At 35.8% G+C, this 17,154-nt stretch overlaps 1 protein-coding gene across 4 annotated transcripts in view; it reads right to left on the minus strand.

Annotated features, from left to right (window-relative positions):
• Positions 1–6,705: 6,705 nt before the first annotated feature.
• MOXD1 (monooxygenase DBH like 1) overlaps positions 6,706–17,154 on the minus strand; it is a 105,421-nt gene continuing 94,972 nt past the window's right edge. For all 4 annotated transcript variants that reach the window (XM_017010714.3, NM_015529.4, XM_047418622.1 and 1 more), the window contains exons 11-12: positions 8,438–8,606; positions 6,706–7,968 (exon numbers count right to left, since the gene is read on the minus strand). In XM_017010714.3, coding sequence (XP_016866203.1) covers positions 7,804–7,968; positions 8,438–8,606 — 334 coding nt within the window. In that variant the 3' untranslated portion in view covers positions 6,706–7,803. The remainder of the gene's footprint in view (positions 7,969–8,437; positions 8,607–17,154) is intronic.

Here is a 17,154-nt window from a genome sequence, read left to right on the forward strand (position 1 = left end):
CTAAGTAAAGAGGACTCAGAAATAAGAGACTTTAAAAAAATTTGTAACTACAGTCTCTGTTTTCTTCACTAGATTTCATCATTAGCTTTCTTGTTCACTCGCGTATTTCAAGTATGCGGCAGACTGGTTCAAGGGTGAATGATTGATGACAAATTAAAATTATTTAAAAGCTGCATATGGACTTCCTGCAGAACCCATATGTACAACCACATGTCAATTAAGCAAAGAACAGACTATAGGAAATCTCTGTTAAGCATAAAAAAAAAAGGAAGATTTTAAAAGAAGGAAAGGGAAAAGTTCTGTATCTAATTAGCAATCACCAAATAAGAGAAGAAAGCTGGCAACTTGCAGAGAAGGCTTAGTACACCGCATGGCTCATTTCTCCAAGTGCACTGCACAAAGACAGCTCCTGACTAGGGAATGGAAATTGTCATAGTTTACTCCAAACCCTATGGTTTTGTCATTTGGAGATAACGGAGTATTAAAGAACACGGTTCTTCATATGAGGACTAAATGGTCTATGGAAAGCAATTCCATTCTTGCAATTCCAGTATCCCATCTGAATGACGGTGCTTCTAACTCTAGCAAGATTAGCAAATGACTAGGCAAGTTCATTGCAGAATCCTCATTTGGCCTGGGAAATTCTTTACAGGGAGCCAGTGATGTAAATGCAGAGAGTTCTAAGGGAAAAAAAATCCTTCACTTTTTCTGTCTACAAAGTGCATTCTCACCACTGCTCACAATTGGCTTAGGCACTTCCTCAAGCTGTTATTAAAATAAAGAAGTATATCTTCTTAAAATAACTAATGGGCTAAACAATTAAAAGATTAGCAAAAAATGCTTAAACTGATTAGATTAGAATTAAGGATGGAAATTAAATTTAAAAACAAAAAATTGAAGATAAAAGAACAAGAAGTTAAAGATTTAAATACAGTAATCTCAAAACAGAAGGTGAAGTATAAAATGCAAGCTACAACAAACTAACAATTTGGAAAATTTCAAAAGAGACTCAGAATCATTACAGTAAAAGGTTAGGAGACTTAAGGTTGATCTTAGAGCTTAACCCTCAATAAGAATTATTTTAAAATTATTTAAAGGCTGCATATGGACTTCCTGCAGAACCCATCTGTACAACCACATGTCACTTAAGCAAAGAGCAGACATTAGGAAATCTGTGTTAACCTTAAAAATGGAGGATTTAAAAATCTTTAAGAAGCTTAAGGTAATTTGAATTTAGAATTAGCAAGAAAATAAAGGCAATAGGGAAATAAGTATGTAGGCTGGGAAGGGCCAGGGCAGGTTCTTTGAGAAGTCTAATACCTCCAAGCCAACATTGGCAGGATTTATACCAGATATGCAGTAAGCCATCTAATGGCTTTAGGGGAGAAACACATCCTTTGTTTAATACACAAAATCCCCCTCTTCCCTTTATTTCCCATATTATTCCTTATTTTCAGTTAATAGTAATATAGTTTTATTTGATAGATTTATTTCAAAAAGTCTGTCTTTTAAATATATTCTAAGAAGAGAAGACAACTTATGAAATAGTCAAAGTGAGGTGAAGACACATGAACCAAATGTGGAAGGAAAAGTCTCATGAAGCAAGGAAAAATAGGCCAAAATTGTAAAGCTTTCCTCATAAAAAACTAGAACTCCATTTTTGCAAATCATAAAAAACACGAGAAAGGTAGATTGGTTCATTTTAACTTTATTAGTTTCATGACAGCAGATTATTTCCAGGAGGAAAAAGAGCAAAGAATAATGTCTTTCCTTTTGACAAACATGAGAAATGACAAGTAGCTAGTCATTGATTTTTTTTTCTTTTTGAGAATGATTGCCAAATTCACTCAGACCTAATATTCATTTGATTAAGTGTCATTCACTTTGAAAAACTGATTCAGTTAAAACCAAATTTCAATTGATTATATCCGGAAAATGGTATAGAAAATAAAATAGGAAACCTGCCTCTGTTGCCAGGAATTGTGCATCCTAAACATGGGGTCTTGCAAAGGAAAGAAGAAAACTGATATTGAGTGAGCTCAATGTGTCAGATGCTGTATCTTTATTACCATATTTAATCCACAAGCAACTTCTTAAGATTAGAAATTATTATCACTACTTTACTGATGGGAAAAGAGAAATTTACTAAGTCATTTTGGATATAGTTTATGTCCACATAGTTTAAAGTAAAGCAATTGGAAATTAGGTCTCCCATAATTACCACAGTACAACATGCTGTCTACTTACCTTTTCTGAATATAACTATTCACTTGTAAAAGCAGTTTTAAGCATTAATGAGAATATTGTGAAAACACTTTGCAAATTCCAAAACATTATAAAAATGTATGGCATTATTTTGATTAGTAATATTTAATGGATTAGTAAAAAATAAGAGGGAAACTTGGGTAATTCAGGCTTTCATTCTACATTTGTATATTATTCCCCCCAAATTCCTTTTTTCACATTATATCAATTCCACAACAAATATTAAAGAAGTTGGAAAAGAAATGTCTTTATTAAATAAACCTTAGATTGAGGCCACAGAGTCCTCATGCTATTGTTAATCAAAGGACAATGAAGGGAACTCTATAAAACAACTTTCATTAAAAGTTGCCTTTTTAACGTAAGGTTTTCCTTATGGTAAAGCAATTTAGCAACATCATGATGACCAAAAAAGTCACTGGAAATATTTTGCTCTTTGTGATGGAAAACCTTTAGAAAGGGCAAAAGCTGTGACTGGTCAAAGAGAGTCACTTATAACTCATCTGATGAATTTTGTTTTTTAATTTTTCTGCTTTCATTGTTGGGAAATAAGGCAGGATTTTGAAATTTAGCATTCTCTTAAGGAATAAAATTACTTAGGAAATAAAGGTAGTCTCTATCTATAGGTCTGAAATGTTCCAAAGATATGCAGCTTTGTCAACATTTCTGAAATACCTTATTGATGTCAAATAATTCATTTTAGCATATTCCCTGAGAAAATGGTAAATTGTTTTTCATTTTTTCTGTAAGTTGTACCACTCTAGATTAATAAAAAACAGAGGGCCGGGCACAATGGCTCAAGCCTATAATCCCAGCACTTTGGGAGGCCAAAGAGGATAGATTGCTTGAGCTCAGGAGTTTGAGACAAGCCTGGGCAACATGGTGAGACCCTGTCTTTACCAAAAACAGAAAAAAATAAAAATAGCCAAACATGGTGGTGCGCACCTGTGGTCCCAGCTACTCAGGCGGCTGTGGTGGGAGGATTTCTCTCTCTCTCAAAAAAAAAAAAAAAAAATGAGGGTGTGTTTGTTTATTGGCAAAATAACACGGCAAATAAGGAATAGACCATGAACCCAAGTGAAAGGCTTATGTCTGTTGGACTGTTTTACAGTTGCCCATGAACAGTTTGGAAGTTTCCAAGAACCTGTTAAAGAAACCTGGACATGCTCTGCTCAGAAAGTTGTGTGCCCCAGAGTTTGTTCCTTTGGGAACATTGCTCCACCACAACAGGGGTTTGGTGAAATGAGTTTGAGAAATGTTTCATACTATATAACTCTTCTTGGACTTTCAAATGCACATTATTATATTTAAGACAGAGACGTTATGCAATAAGCCTGTTTTAAGTTGTAACAATGTTCCATGACTCTTCATAGTTTCCATGGATCACAGCTCTGGCCTGGGCAGTAATGGATGCTGCCATGAGCCTGTTCAACTGACCATTTTCTACTCATAAAGTACCAGTCTGACTATGTTGGATTTAGATACAACTGTCAATTAAAATCTTGTAGGGCTAAGATGTTCAATATGATATAAACTATGTTCATAGTCCACATAATCTATGGAGAAAGGATGGTCCATGATGATGATGTAAGCTTTCTGTAAAGCTAAATTTATTCAATTTGAAGAACTGATATTTATTTTGAATGCTTCCAATTTGTAAAATGAAATGTTGGTGATAAGAGGTTTAATGTACTCAGCTATGGGCTTCATCACAATTGTAAGCCCAACGCTGTAGTACAGAGCATGGCTCAACATAGGCTCAATACAATTTGTTAATTTATTAAATAAATAGTAACCATTCTGTTTAGTATCCTATTTTGCCAAACATAAGTTGACAACCCTATGTTGGTTTGATCATTGTTTTTAAAACTCAAAAATCTTGGAATCATTTGAGTAGATGAAAGTCAATTTTACTAAAAACATATATTGCAGCAGAGATGTCTTCCTTTCTGTAGTGTTGTCATTCTCCAGGTACCCAAAGATAGATGACATTCTTAGCCCCTCTTGCATTTCAATGAGGCCATGTGACTTATTTTAACCAACGTGGTGAAAGTGGAAGTGATTTCTGCCCCTTCTAGGTCAGGTCCTTCTCCATTAGCAGGCGGAATGCAAATGACCCTGAGCCCTAGGAATGATAAGGCCACAGGATCCTGGGTCCCGGAATCACCACAAGAAGGAAAGCCAATGACCAGATGAACACACATTGAGCAATTAATTGATGAAAAATAAACTTCATTGTGTTAAAGTATTGATATTTTGGAATTTGTTTCAGAAGCTAGTGTTACCTAACATCTGTATCTCCATCTATATATGAATATACACAGATATACACCTTTGCAGACATATACTAGAAGCATATGCAATGTAAAAGTTAGAAGTGGGAAATAGAATTAACAGATTTTATTTATTAACAGGTTTTATTTATTCTTTGGTCAATAGGATTAACAGATTTTATTATTTAAAAAATTATCATACTTTTCTAAGTTTTCTTTAGCAAATGGGCATTACACATTAGGTTTATAATCAGGGGGAGAGCAAAATAAATATATTATTTTTAAGTGATTTCCAGCCTGCAAGACCTCTTCCTTTTTTTTTTTTTTTTTTTTTTTTAGTTTTTTGGATTTTTCCTCACTCCCTGGGTCCCTCAAGCCCTCTGTTTTTTGTTTTGTGGTTCCTTTTTTCTTTTTTTTTTCCTTCCAAACTGGAAGCACATCCTATCTTTAGTCAGAACTGACAAACTTGCAGTCATCTCTGCCCTCTCTCAGGGGTATCTGAGGAGTAAGCACCATCTAGTTTCTCTCTTTACCACCTCAAAATGTAGGAATACTGCAAAGGGAAGAAAACCTACCTGGATCACTGTGCTGTAGCTGGATTCTTCATGATGTTTTCTGCATTTCTAGCTTTTTATTCTGAAATAATTTCAAACTTAAAAAATTGCAACAATAGTACAAAGAAATCTTATGTTCTCCAACCAGACTCACCCATTATTATCATTTTACATGTCTCTCTCTGTAGATACATAGCCAGATACCACATAGATAGATAGATGATAGATAGATAGATGGATAGATAATTTTTCCAAACCATTTGAGAAAAAGTTAAAGTTATCTGACAATATTTCATCAAAATTCTTGAAATACGCAATGATTATTTCTGTAATTCCACTTATTATGACCTAGATGTAAGAAAATACTTAGGGATATAAAAAAGTTTTAATTTCAAAGTTGTTAAATCACCAATACTTATATTAAAAATTGAAATGACTTTTACACCCAATAATGAGTTTGGCTGAGCAATAGCCTTTACATACTGCTTCCAAATGTCCTTTTGTTTGCCACCCATCATTGGCCTCTGGAGCCATTAGGACAAAGTCTGAAGCTCTTAATATGTCTACCTCTATTGACTACATCACTCTTATCACTGCTAGGACTCCTTTGATTCTGCCTGAGCCCCCTTCAGAAAAAAAAAAAGATCACCCAGGATACCCTCAATTTTACATGGCACTGATGAATGTTGGTTTCACCAGGTATGTCTTCTCCACACTCTCTGAACCTAAGGATCCAACCAGAGACCATCATACATGGAGACCCCATTCTCCCCAAAGTCTCGGGGACTTGTGCCTGACAGCCTAGGTGTCAGGTGATGCTATTTAATCTAGGAAAGCAATTAAAAGCCTCTCTGAAAAAGGAGTAATAAAAAGCCCGGCTGTTCAGGAAGGTGTGCTCAACATAAGACCAAATAACTTAGAATACAATCAGAATTCTATAGAACTTACAACAGATAACCTATCCCAATTTGAAATAGAGTCTATTCCTTGAAATCACATATATTCATGAGAATTTCCAGAAGAATAATGTCAACTTTCTTCTTAGTAACATCAATGGAAGAGATTCCCTGGCCTGGCTCCATAAATTAAGCTTCCAAAGCTGTTTACCCTCGTCTAGCTGGTATGTTCACCTTCCTTACCAAGAACAAATATAATATTACAGAATATTTGTTCTTGGTAAGAACAAATATAATATTACAGAATCTCAGGAGGAAATCATTTGACTTTGATACCTCAAATTCAGAAATTCTGAAGTAAAAATCAACATAAAATTTCAAATAGGGAGCATTTGGAATTATATTTCTCATATAAATATTTGAATGGAAAATCATAGAATGTGAAATAGCACTTATAAAATAAAAAGAAAGTAAACTCAAAAATATGCCTCAAAAATATTAAAAACATTTCATCAAATGTACAAGTTCTAAGAATCAAGAAGGAAATACTCTGAAACATATTTATTTAAAAGGCAATACGTTTTGTGTTGAAGACATTATGGGGCAAAAAGGGCTTCAAAATGGAATGGAAAATGCAACATTCTGAATTGACTTTTACTGTTAATACTAGTACTGAATCACTTACTTTTCTTAAACAATGTATAAAATACCACACAAAAGTGTAATTTCATTTAGTTTATTAATATGATCCAAACAGATTTAGCTTAAGAGATGAGGACAGGACATAAAACAAGATTTGGCTGAGCTATATAAAGAAAACCAAAAGAGTGACAAGATTTTCAATTGGTGACAATTTAAAGTCATTTATTAACTAATATAAAAATAAATCTACAATAGAACCATGACTTAAACTGAGCCAGTATGTGGTACATGTGTCACCCAAAGTCAGCAAGGAACCATTCAGAACTTACACCCTCCTGGACTGGCTCACACGGCCTGTCTTTGATCTGGAACCTCATATAAGTCACCTCACAGCACTGGGTTTGCAGCCAGCTACATTTTTTCTCCTCAGCCTATGATCAGTTATTAATACATACCATTTCTATGTTTCCCATAGCCTCTTTCTTTTCAGATAGTGACAGAGCTCTAGAAAAAACTCATCTGGCCAGTACTAAACAGGGAAGGTGAAAAAAAGTACTTTAAGATGGGTGTGGGGTCATTTGGGGTACCAACAGACTCAGATAAACAAGGGAACCAGAGTGGGCATCAACAAAAAGCATTGAGGTAAGGGGCCCAGTGGTAATTCACAGAAAAGACCAGAACTGGACAATATTAAAGTCAGGAAGAATGGCTGTTACACTTGAAAAGTCACACTAGAAGAACAACAAAGAAGAAGAAAACTGGAATGAACAGTAGTCCCTTTTATATTTTTTAAAAGGAAGGAATTTTTTAAAGAAATATAAAAGTCAAGTCAAAAAGTGAAATAGCAACAATGAGTATTTAAATAAAACAGAATGTAGTAGGAAAGAAAGAATTCTTTTATTCCCACATGACAGCCCAATTTTTTAAAATGGTTATCTTAAGTCAGGCCAGTTTTATTTTATTGACCATGTATATATAACATCAGATATTTCTAAGAAAGAGAAGAGAACCTGATTGATGTCTCTCATGTAACATGGAAAGGAAAAAGGAGGGAGGGAAAATGGGGAAGAAAAGTCTCCACACTCTTCATGCCCAAAGTGGACACAGTCTTTAACCTGTACTTCAAATGACAGGTTCAGATCATAGAAAACATTGTCAAGTCCAACAGAATTTTGATCACAAGCTCTTGGTGCTCAGCGTGCAGCTGAGTAGCAGAAGGCAAACAAGCAAGTTGATGGAGAAATCTCTGTGCAGGGAAGAGGAAGAAGACGTGCCACACACCAAAGGTTCTGCTTTATAGGGTCTTTCTATATCTGGAGGTAATGCTGTCATTCCTTGAATCTGAAAATGGAAGCACAAACAATGCAAATGAACATCTGATTTAAGGCAGCACAGTGACCAGGCCGCTCAGCTGCCCACACTTCTGCAGGGGATAAAGGGGGCAGGAGTGGTTACCAAAGGAGTCACACACTGGGGGAGTCAGAAACCTAGGGTTAAGGAGGAAACAGAAAAGAGGGCCAGGCACTCCTTTGGAAAAGAATACAAAGCAGGCTCTATTGCTTTTTGCAGCACTCATTCCGGCCTGTTCCTGCTCTATCCCAACCTTAGTTTTAGAACTAATTTTTCTCTTGAAAGGGGGTAGAATGAGGAGTTTTCAGTCAATCCAAGTAATCATTGAACAAAAATTATCAGACATTAGAAGGCAACTGGACCCCTGGATTTATGGATATTTGTCTTCTCCTTAGGTTTTCCTGTAATAGATTCAGATAAAATGTGTCATCTGGGTTGTCAGAGGTTAAAAAGAGCTTACCGACCACTCAGCATTGTCTGTCTTGGAACATCTCACATTCACTGGCAGGCTGAGGACCAGCTTGTTGAAGGAGAGACCTTCCTTTTTAGTCCATTTAAACTTATTCATAGCATCCATGAAAGAAAGGTTTTTATATTGCTTGGGACTTTTGATAATGAAAGGCCAGGTCCTGAATTTAAAAGACACAGTTAGTCATATTCAGAACAAATGCATTACATGTTTCCTTTACTTTTCAGCATCCTAAAATAGATCTCACACTTATTCATTTTCATACACATAGATAACCTAATGCAAAATGTTGATGAGCTCATCAGTGATTACTAGAAGAAATACCAAATAAAAGATTTTTAAAGAATGATATTTATTTTTTAGTAGCAGATTGGCATTAATTTTATTTTTAATTTTATATTTTTTAATAGATATGGGGTCTTGCTATGTTGCCCAGGTTGGTCTGGAACTCCCAGGCGCAAGCAACCCTCCCACCTCCACCACTCAAAGTGCTGGGATTATAGGTGTGAGCCACCATGCCCGGTCAAAATTTAAACAAATAATTTTGTCTCAGAAAGCTTCTACAGAGTCTCACAATTCTACATTAATTTGGTTTGGTTCTAGTTAAAAAATTAACTGGTAAGCATTCATTTCTGAAAAGTACAATGCTAATGGTGTAATCAAGAAACCTGCAGGTTCCTAAAAGATACTGTGAGAGATGGAAAGTTCAAACCCATACACTATAAAAGCCTGACCCCTGCTGGCTGATCTGTTTTGGCTTAGCTAAGTGAGAAGACAAATACAACAAAAAATGTGATTTGATCAATGCTTCAAAAATTTTACTCATTTCTCAAAAGAAGACATACATAAGGCCAAAAAACATGAAAAAATGCTCCACATCACTAATAATCATCAGAAAAATGCAAATAAAAACCAGAGTGAGATACCATCTCACCAGTCAGAAGGGCTATTATTAAAATGCAAAAAAAAACAACAACTGATATTGGCAAGGTTGCAGAGAAAAGACAATGCTTATACATTGTTGGTGGGGATGTAAATTAGTTCAGCCAACTGTGGAAGCAGTTTGTAGATTTCTCAAAGAACTTAAAACAGAACTACCATTCAACCCAGTAATCCTATTACTAGCTATACACCCAAAGGAAAATAAATAGTTCTACCAAAAAGACCACATGCATTTGTATGTTCATCATAGCACTATTCACAATAGCAAAGACATGGAATCAACCAAGGTGTCCATCAAAGGTGGACTAGATAAAGAAAATGTGGTACATATACACCATGGAATACTATGTAGCCACACAAAAAAAGAAAGAAATCATGTCCTTTGCAGCAGCATGGGTGCATCTGGAGGCCATCATCCTAAGTGAATTACACAGGAACAGAAAACCAAAAACCGCGTGTTCTCACATATAAGTGGGATCTAATCATTGAATACACATAGACATAAAGATGGGAAAAACAGACACTGGGAACTACTAGAGAGAGAGGGAGAGAGGGAGACAAGAATGAAAAAACTACCTGTTGGGTGCCTGGCTCACTACCTGGGTGATGGAATCATTCATACTCTAAACCTCAGTTTCACACAATATACCATTGTAACAAACCTAAACATGCATCCCTTGAACCTAAAATAAAAGTTGAAATTTTAAAAATGTACTGAGAAAAAAAATACCCTATATAGAATACACTCTGCCTTCACCTGCCACTCCAAAAATCACATGCCAAATATTCAAGAAAGGAAAAAGAAATCACAAGAATGACATGAGCAGACAGAAGAAGTGACAGAAAAAGTGAAGTGAAAAAGTGAATGACATAACTTGCTTGAAAAGATAGTTTTCAGGTGTTGTCTTTCATTAAATATAAGTTTTATATTATTGATTCCTGAAAAAGGGAAAAGTGTAAGTGCTGGCATGTCACAAAATTTTACATTAATCCATGGACCTTGCAGGAAATTATCATGGTGACTAGAAAGTATCTGGCACTCATAACATCCCAAGATGTTACAGTAATTTCTATAATTATCAAATAATCTCAGCTGAAGAATATACATTAATCTTCATATTTTTAAAATTTATTTATGTCATTTCTCTCTCCCTCTCTCTCTCTCTCTCTCTCTCTTAACATACATAACCCACTCAGGCACATTGAATATCATCTTTTTAAGTAAATTAAAAGTTCCTTATTAATTTCTTGGAGTTATAAAGATAATTTTTTATGTCTAAATTTGAAATATTTCTTCCATATCTAATAAGTGAGACAATGAGGAAAATAGGTAATATATATAGATCTTTACATTTTTCATAATTTCCTTTAATTAGAATCAATATATATCTTTGTTGAGTTTTAAATGCATTATTTTATACAAAGACCTTAAAGTGAAGCCCCATAAAGTAAGAGCAATCAGCATTGCATTACATAAACATACCTAGCAATGGCCTAAAATCTATAGCATTTGAAAATTAAACATATTGTGACAATTTTGTAGAGACACAATCCAGAATTAGTATCAAGCAAAAACTTGACTTGAAAGAAGTTATTATATTTGCATACAATGTCCTTTTAAAAGCACTAAAAGCTACAGCTATTGATCATTTTAAGTCAATTATTAAAAATAAAATTTACTTTTCAAAAAGATAAAATGCCTAATTTGAAAAAGAGAAAATCAATTTTATAACCAGATAAATGCTAGGGGAAAATCATCAGTCTGTAACCATCTGAAACACCACAAGGTGGCACGACAGCTTTACTATGGTGCTTAGGTTGCCTAAAGCCTCTGGTGCCCCGCTGTTAAGAGTGAATAGTGTGACCATTATACACAGATGAAATCTTAAAAAGCTTTGCTGCTATAATAATTTACTAAATTGCCTATTATTGAGATTGTCCAACATAAAGTGACAGAAGAGGTGTAACCCCATTTGTCAGTTTTTAGAACAGATATGTAGAAAGGCCAAGCCCAATGGCGCGTATGTTGGAGACAGAATGACTGAGGCTGGGTGACCTGGGGATGTGGTCATCAACCTTTCTGAGATGGCATCTTTGTCTCATATTTATCATCTCCTTTCCACTCCCACTAACTTGGTTTAGGCCCCTGTTCTATAATAACTTTATACTAATAAACATCCTACTTGTCATCTCTAACCTTTCTAGCCTATCCTACACACTTCCAAATTATTTCCTAGAGAAAAGAGCAGACAGAAAAAGTGAATATTTATCCTGAATACTTTTTTTCAAAAAGACTAAGCTTTAAACCAGGTAACCTTAAAGTAGCAAGTATTTCTGCTTTTACTGGGATTAGGGATTAGTTGGAAATAATTGGGAATGTTACAGAAATAAAAAGTTACATTTCTGCATATCTTGTCAGTGTGTAAATGTCTCTCCATACATACATGTAAACGAATGGTATTATATATATATATATATATATATATTACTGTAGTCAATAAAAAACAGTGTTATTATTATGCTTTAATATTGATGGGTAATTTTCCTTTGTAAATTCCATCTAAACTCTGAGACATGTTTTTCTAAGAAGATAGCAAAGTTGACTGCAATACACCATGGTAGAGTAATTTTTTAAATTTTTAAGTGGAACATAAAGCTATTTATTCTTATAAATTCAAACTGATCAATGGAAATTTTAAAAGTTTAATGATTTTTATACTTGGTCCCTCTGTTCTATATAAATTGAAAAGCAGATGGAGAAAAATAATCTGTGGTTACATTTCTTATCTGAGCCTCTCTGGACTCCTGTTTTAAAAGTTTTATTGCTAATGTCTTTCTCGGGGTAGAGAAGGAGAAGGAAGGAAGAGAGATGGAAGATTTAACCAAGAAACAAAGTCCATGTACTTATAGCTAAATGAACTATATTACACACTCTCCATCCATCAAGCAAGTAAACATGTGATCAAAAACTAGCAAAAGGAACAAAAATTCATTAACAGACTTCCACTTTTGGCCATGTTGGAGTAACTGACACTAACTTCCTGTAAAAAACTCAAAATTCGACAAACCATATGAAACAGCTGGTTTGGACATTGGAAAATAGCACAGAACTATGATCCCCAAAAGGAAGGAAACAAATAAGGTGTTTGAATATTATGTTCATCCCAGCTTTCTGCCTAGAAGCATTCTCTGAACCAGAATGCAGGAAAGGGAATTTCGAAACAGAAAATGACGATCTCAATAAGTTAAGGAGATGAAGACCAGAGTTAAGGGAGTCTGAAGAAGCTTACATATTCAAGGTAGACTACTGCAGAGGAAAAATTTGTATAAGGATCCTCTGAGTCAGTAACTAAGCAATAAGCCAACTATATTTAGGGTAAAATCCACAAGACTGGGCAATGAACAACTAGAAGATTGTGACCTAAACAATTCCCAGAGCCTGTATAGAGCTAGCAGACATTTGAGCTCAAACTAGCCAGAGTGGAATGTCTCTGTTGACTACACGGAGTAAACATCTATTCTAGACTCACGCTAACAAGGTTCTTTAAAGAAATAAAAACAACCTAGTACTAATTAACAGAATGTGCATAATGTCCTGTTGTCTATGTCTAGTCAAAAAATTATTAAACACATCAACAAGTATGTAAATGTGAATCTAAACTAGAAGAAAAAATCAGTCAATACTCCAAGATCTTGAAATGACAGAGATTAAAGAATTAGCAGACAAGGATAACTAAAACTTAAAAAAACATATTATTAACAAAACATGCGCAAAACTTCTATATTGAAAACCACAAAAAAGTGCTTAGAGAAATGAAAGAACAGTAAATAAGTGAAGAGGCATACCATGTTCATAGATTAGAAGACTCAATATTGTTAAGGTATCAATTCTCTCAAATTGTCTAGAAATTCAGTATAATCCCAATCAAATCCCAGCAGGTCCTTTTTAAAAATGAAATTGACAAGTTGATTTAAATATATGTATGAAAATAGAATAAACCTAGACTATCAAAATAATTTTGGGAAAAAATGACAAAGTTTTGGAGACCTACATTTAAGACTTCCTATAAAACTATAATAATTAAATGTGGTTTTAGAGTAAGGCTAAACATATAGAGCAATGAAACAGAATAGAAAATCCAGAAAGAACCAATATATGGACAAATGATTTTCCAACAAATATTCCAAAGTAATTCAATAGTAAAAAGGTAGTTTTCTTTCATCAAATGGTTCTTGCACAACTTGATATCTATATGAAAAACAAAGAACGTTGGATTTACCTTACACTACACACAAAAATGTGTTCAAAATGGATCCACCTAAATGTAAAAGCTAAAACTGTGAACTTTTCAGGGGGAAAACAAGAGAAAGTCTTCCCTTGAGTAGGCAAAGATTTTTTAAGCAGGATATGAAAAGCACAAAACAAACCAAAAAAATGATGAAACAAACTTCAATAAATACAGCTTTTATAAAATGAAAGTCAAGCCACAGACTGGGAGAAATTGTCTGTAAACAGGCATCCAACAGAGAACTTACATCCAAAGTATAAAGAATTCTTACAACTCAGTAATAAGAAAACAAGTAATTCAATGAACAATGAACAAAAATTCTAACAAATAATTAAAAAGAAATACACAGTTGCCCCTTGGTATCCATGGGGGACTGAGGATAGCAAAATCTGTGATGTTCAAGACACTTATATAAAATGGTGTAGTAGTTACATATAACTTATGCACATGCTCCTAGCTACTTTAAATTATCTCCAGATTACTTATAATACCTAATACAATGTAAGTGCTATGTAGATGGTTATTATGCTGTATTGTTAAGGAATGATGACAATAAAAATATTCTGTGCATGTTCAATATAGATGCAATTTTTTCAAACATTTTTTATCTGAAGTTGGTTGAATCCATGGATGCAGAATCCATGTTCTGCATCTGGGAAAGCAGAGGGCTGACTGTATACATACACACACACACACACACACACACACATTTATTTATACACATGTACATATATATATATATACATACATATATACACATATATACATATATACACACACATGTGTGTGTGTGTGTGTGTGTGTGTGTGTATATATATATATATATATATATATATATATATATATATATATACATATATACATAAAACCTTAGGACAATTCTCTGGGTGGCCCTGGACCAATCCAATCCATTCTCATTTTTGCTTGTAGTTCTCAAGAATAACTATATAATGTGCTGGAAACAGAAAATCTTGAGATAGGAAGGGACTGACTGGAATAGCCCAGGTTCTGTTCCAGTACCCCCAATAGGGTTTGAATGTTCATGTCCCTCCAAAACTCATGTTGAAATCTCATCTCCACTGCAGTGTATTAAGAGGTGGGGCCTTGAGGAGGTGATTAGGTCAAGAGGGTTCCATGCTCATGAATGGAATTAGTACCCTTACAAAAGAGACTTGAGGGAACCTTCCAATTGTACCTTCTACTTGTGAGAACACAGCAAGAAGGTGCCATCTTGGAAGTGGAGAGCAAGCCCTCAGAAGACACTGAAACTGCTGGTGCCTTGATTTTGGACTTCCCCATCTTCACAACAATAAGCAATAATTTTCTGTAGTTTATAAATTACCCAGTCTAAGCTATTTTGTTATCCCACCCCAAGCCAACTAAGAGACTCCCCTGGAAACAGAGAGTCCTTCAATGCTTTAGCCTTGAATCTCACATTGCCCTGGGATATAAAACCAAGAATGGGCTGCTTGTCAAGGTCTTTCAGCTGCCATGCAACTGGGACATGTACAGTAGAGGCTCCATCTATTCCAGGCAGATTTCCTGAGCCTTGGAAAACTGGCTTACAATAAATTCTAGGATTCTGTTGTTTTCGCTGCCTATCTGTAAGCAATAAACCCATTTAATGTAACTTGTTGTGTATAAGTATGATTTTTCTTACTGGACTCAGACAACCTGCACAGCGAACCTGCTTTACAATAACCAATAAACATGTGAAAGAGGCTCAGTATCATTAGTCACAAGGAAAATGGAAAATAAAGCCACAAGAAAATATCACTAGATACACATTAAAATGGATAAAATGCAAAATACTGAAAATACAAAATACTGCCAAGAATATTGAGTAACAGGAGTTCTTACACATCACTGGTAAGAATGAAAAATATATTATTTTAAGAACATTTTGAGAGTCTATGGAGTAAACATAAACTTAGCCAACAGTCTCTCAACTGGAATCTGCTTAAGCCTACCAAACTCCCGAGGGCAGGGTCGATCAGCACCGCAGCTGCCTACTGTCTAAGCTGTTTGAGCTCCTTGGGAGAGGAGCAGCAGCCAGCACTAGGACTCGCAACTGCCTAACGTACTAAGCTCCCTGGGCGAGGGAAGGGCAGCATCCATCTCTATAGCTCCAGACTGTGCTTTTCCCCTGCTGGAGCCAGAGAGGCTGGATGGCTTGGTCACAAGACTTGTTCCCCACAGCCCAACACACTGGCTGTGGCAGTCTTCCACCAGAATGCCTCTTCAGGCTTGACCCTGACCCATCCTTCCTCACTGGGTGGGGCTTCCCTGGAGGAACTCCAATGACTCCAACTAGAGGCTCAGGGACAGAAGCTGGATCTCCCTAGTCCTAAGCCCCTAAGGGGAGGGGTGGCTGCAGCCTCTGTGGACCAGCAGGCTTCGCCTTTCCTCCTGGTAGCTCTGAGGAATCCAGGCAGCCCAGATGAGTGGGTTTTCTCCCAACAAGGCACACACCCTCCACCAAGGGACAAAGTGCTTTGTAAAATGAGTCCTGTTCCCTATGCCAGCCAAATGGGTGAGACCCTTCAATAGGGGTTGTACAGGAATAATCCTACTAGCATCAGGTTGGTGCTCCTTGAGGTCAGAGGTCCCAGAAGAAGGAGTAGGCACTCATCTTTGCTGTTCTCTAGCCTCCTGGAGTGTCATCTCCAGGTGTGGGAAATAATCAGATGAATAGGGCCTGAAGTGAACACCCAGCAAAGTGCAGCAGCCCTACAGAAGAGGGACCTGACTGTTGAAAGAAAAACAAGCAGGAAGCAACAACAACAGCATCAATGACAACAAAAAAAGCACTCACAAAAACCCCATCCAAGGGTCAGCAGCCTTGAATACCAAAACTGGACAAACTCATGAAGATGAGAAAGAATCAATAAAAATATGCTGAAAATCCAAAAGGTCAGAGTGCCTCTTCTCCTCCAAATGATTGCAACATCGCTCCATCAAGGGTGCAGAACTAGATGGAGGATCAGATGGATGAATTGACAGAAGCAGGCTTCAGAAGATGGGTAATAAAAACTATGCTGGGCTAAAGAAGCATGTTCTAACCCAATGCAAAGAAGCTAAGAACCTTCATAAAAGGTTGAGGAACTGCTAACAAGAATAATCAGTTTAGAGAGGAATATTAATGACTTGATGAAGCTGAAAAATACAGCACGAGAATTTCATGAAGCATACACAAATATCAACAGCCGAATCAACCAAGCAGAAGAAAAGATATCAGAGTTTGAAGGCCACCTTGCTGAAATAAGGCATGCAGACAAGACTAGAGAAAAAAGAATGAAAAGGAATGAACAAAGCCTCCAAGAAATATAGGACTTCATAAAAAGACCTAACCTATGACTCATTGGAGTACCAGAAGGAGATGGGGAAAATGGAAACAAGCTGGAAAACATGCTTCGGGATATTATCCGGGAGAACTTCCCCAACCTAAAAGACAGGCCAACATGCAAATCAGGAAAT

Source organism: Homo sapiens, chromosome 6, assembly GCF_000001405.40.
Source record: "Homo sapiens chromosome 6, GRCh38.p14 Primary Assembly".
Lineage (NCBI taxonomy): Eukaryota > Metazoa > Chordata > Mammalia > Primates > Hominidae > Homo > Homo sapiens.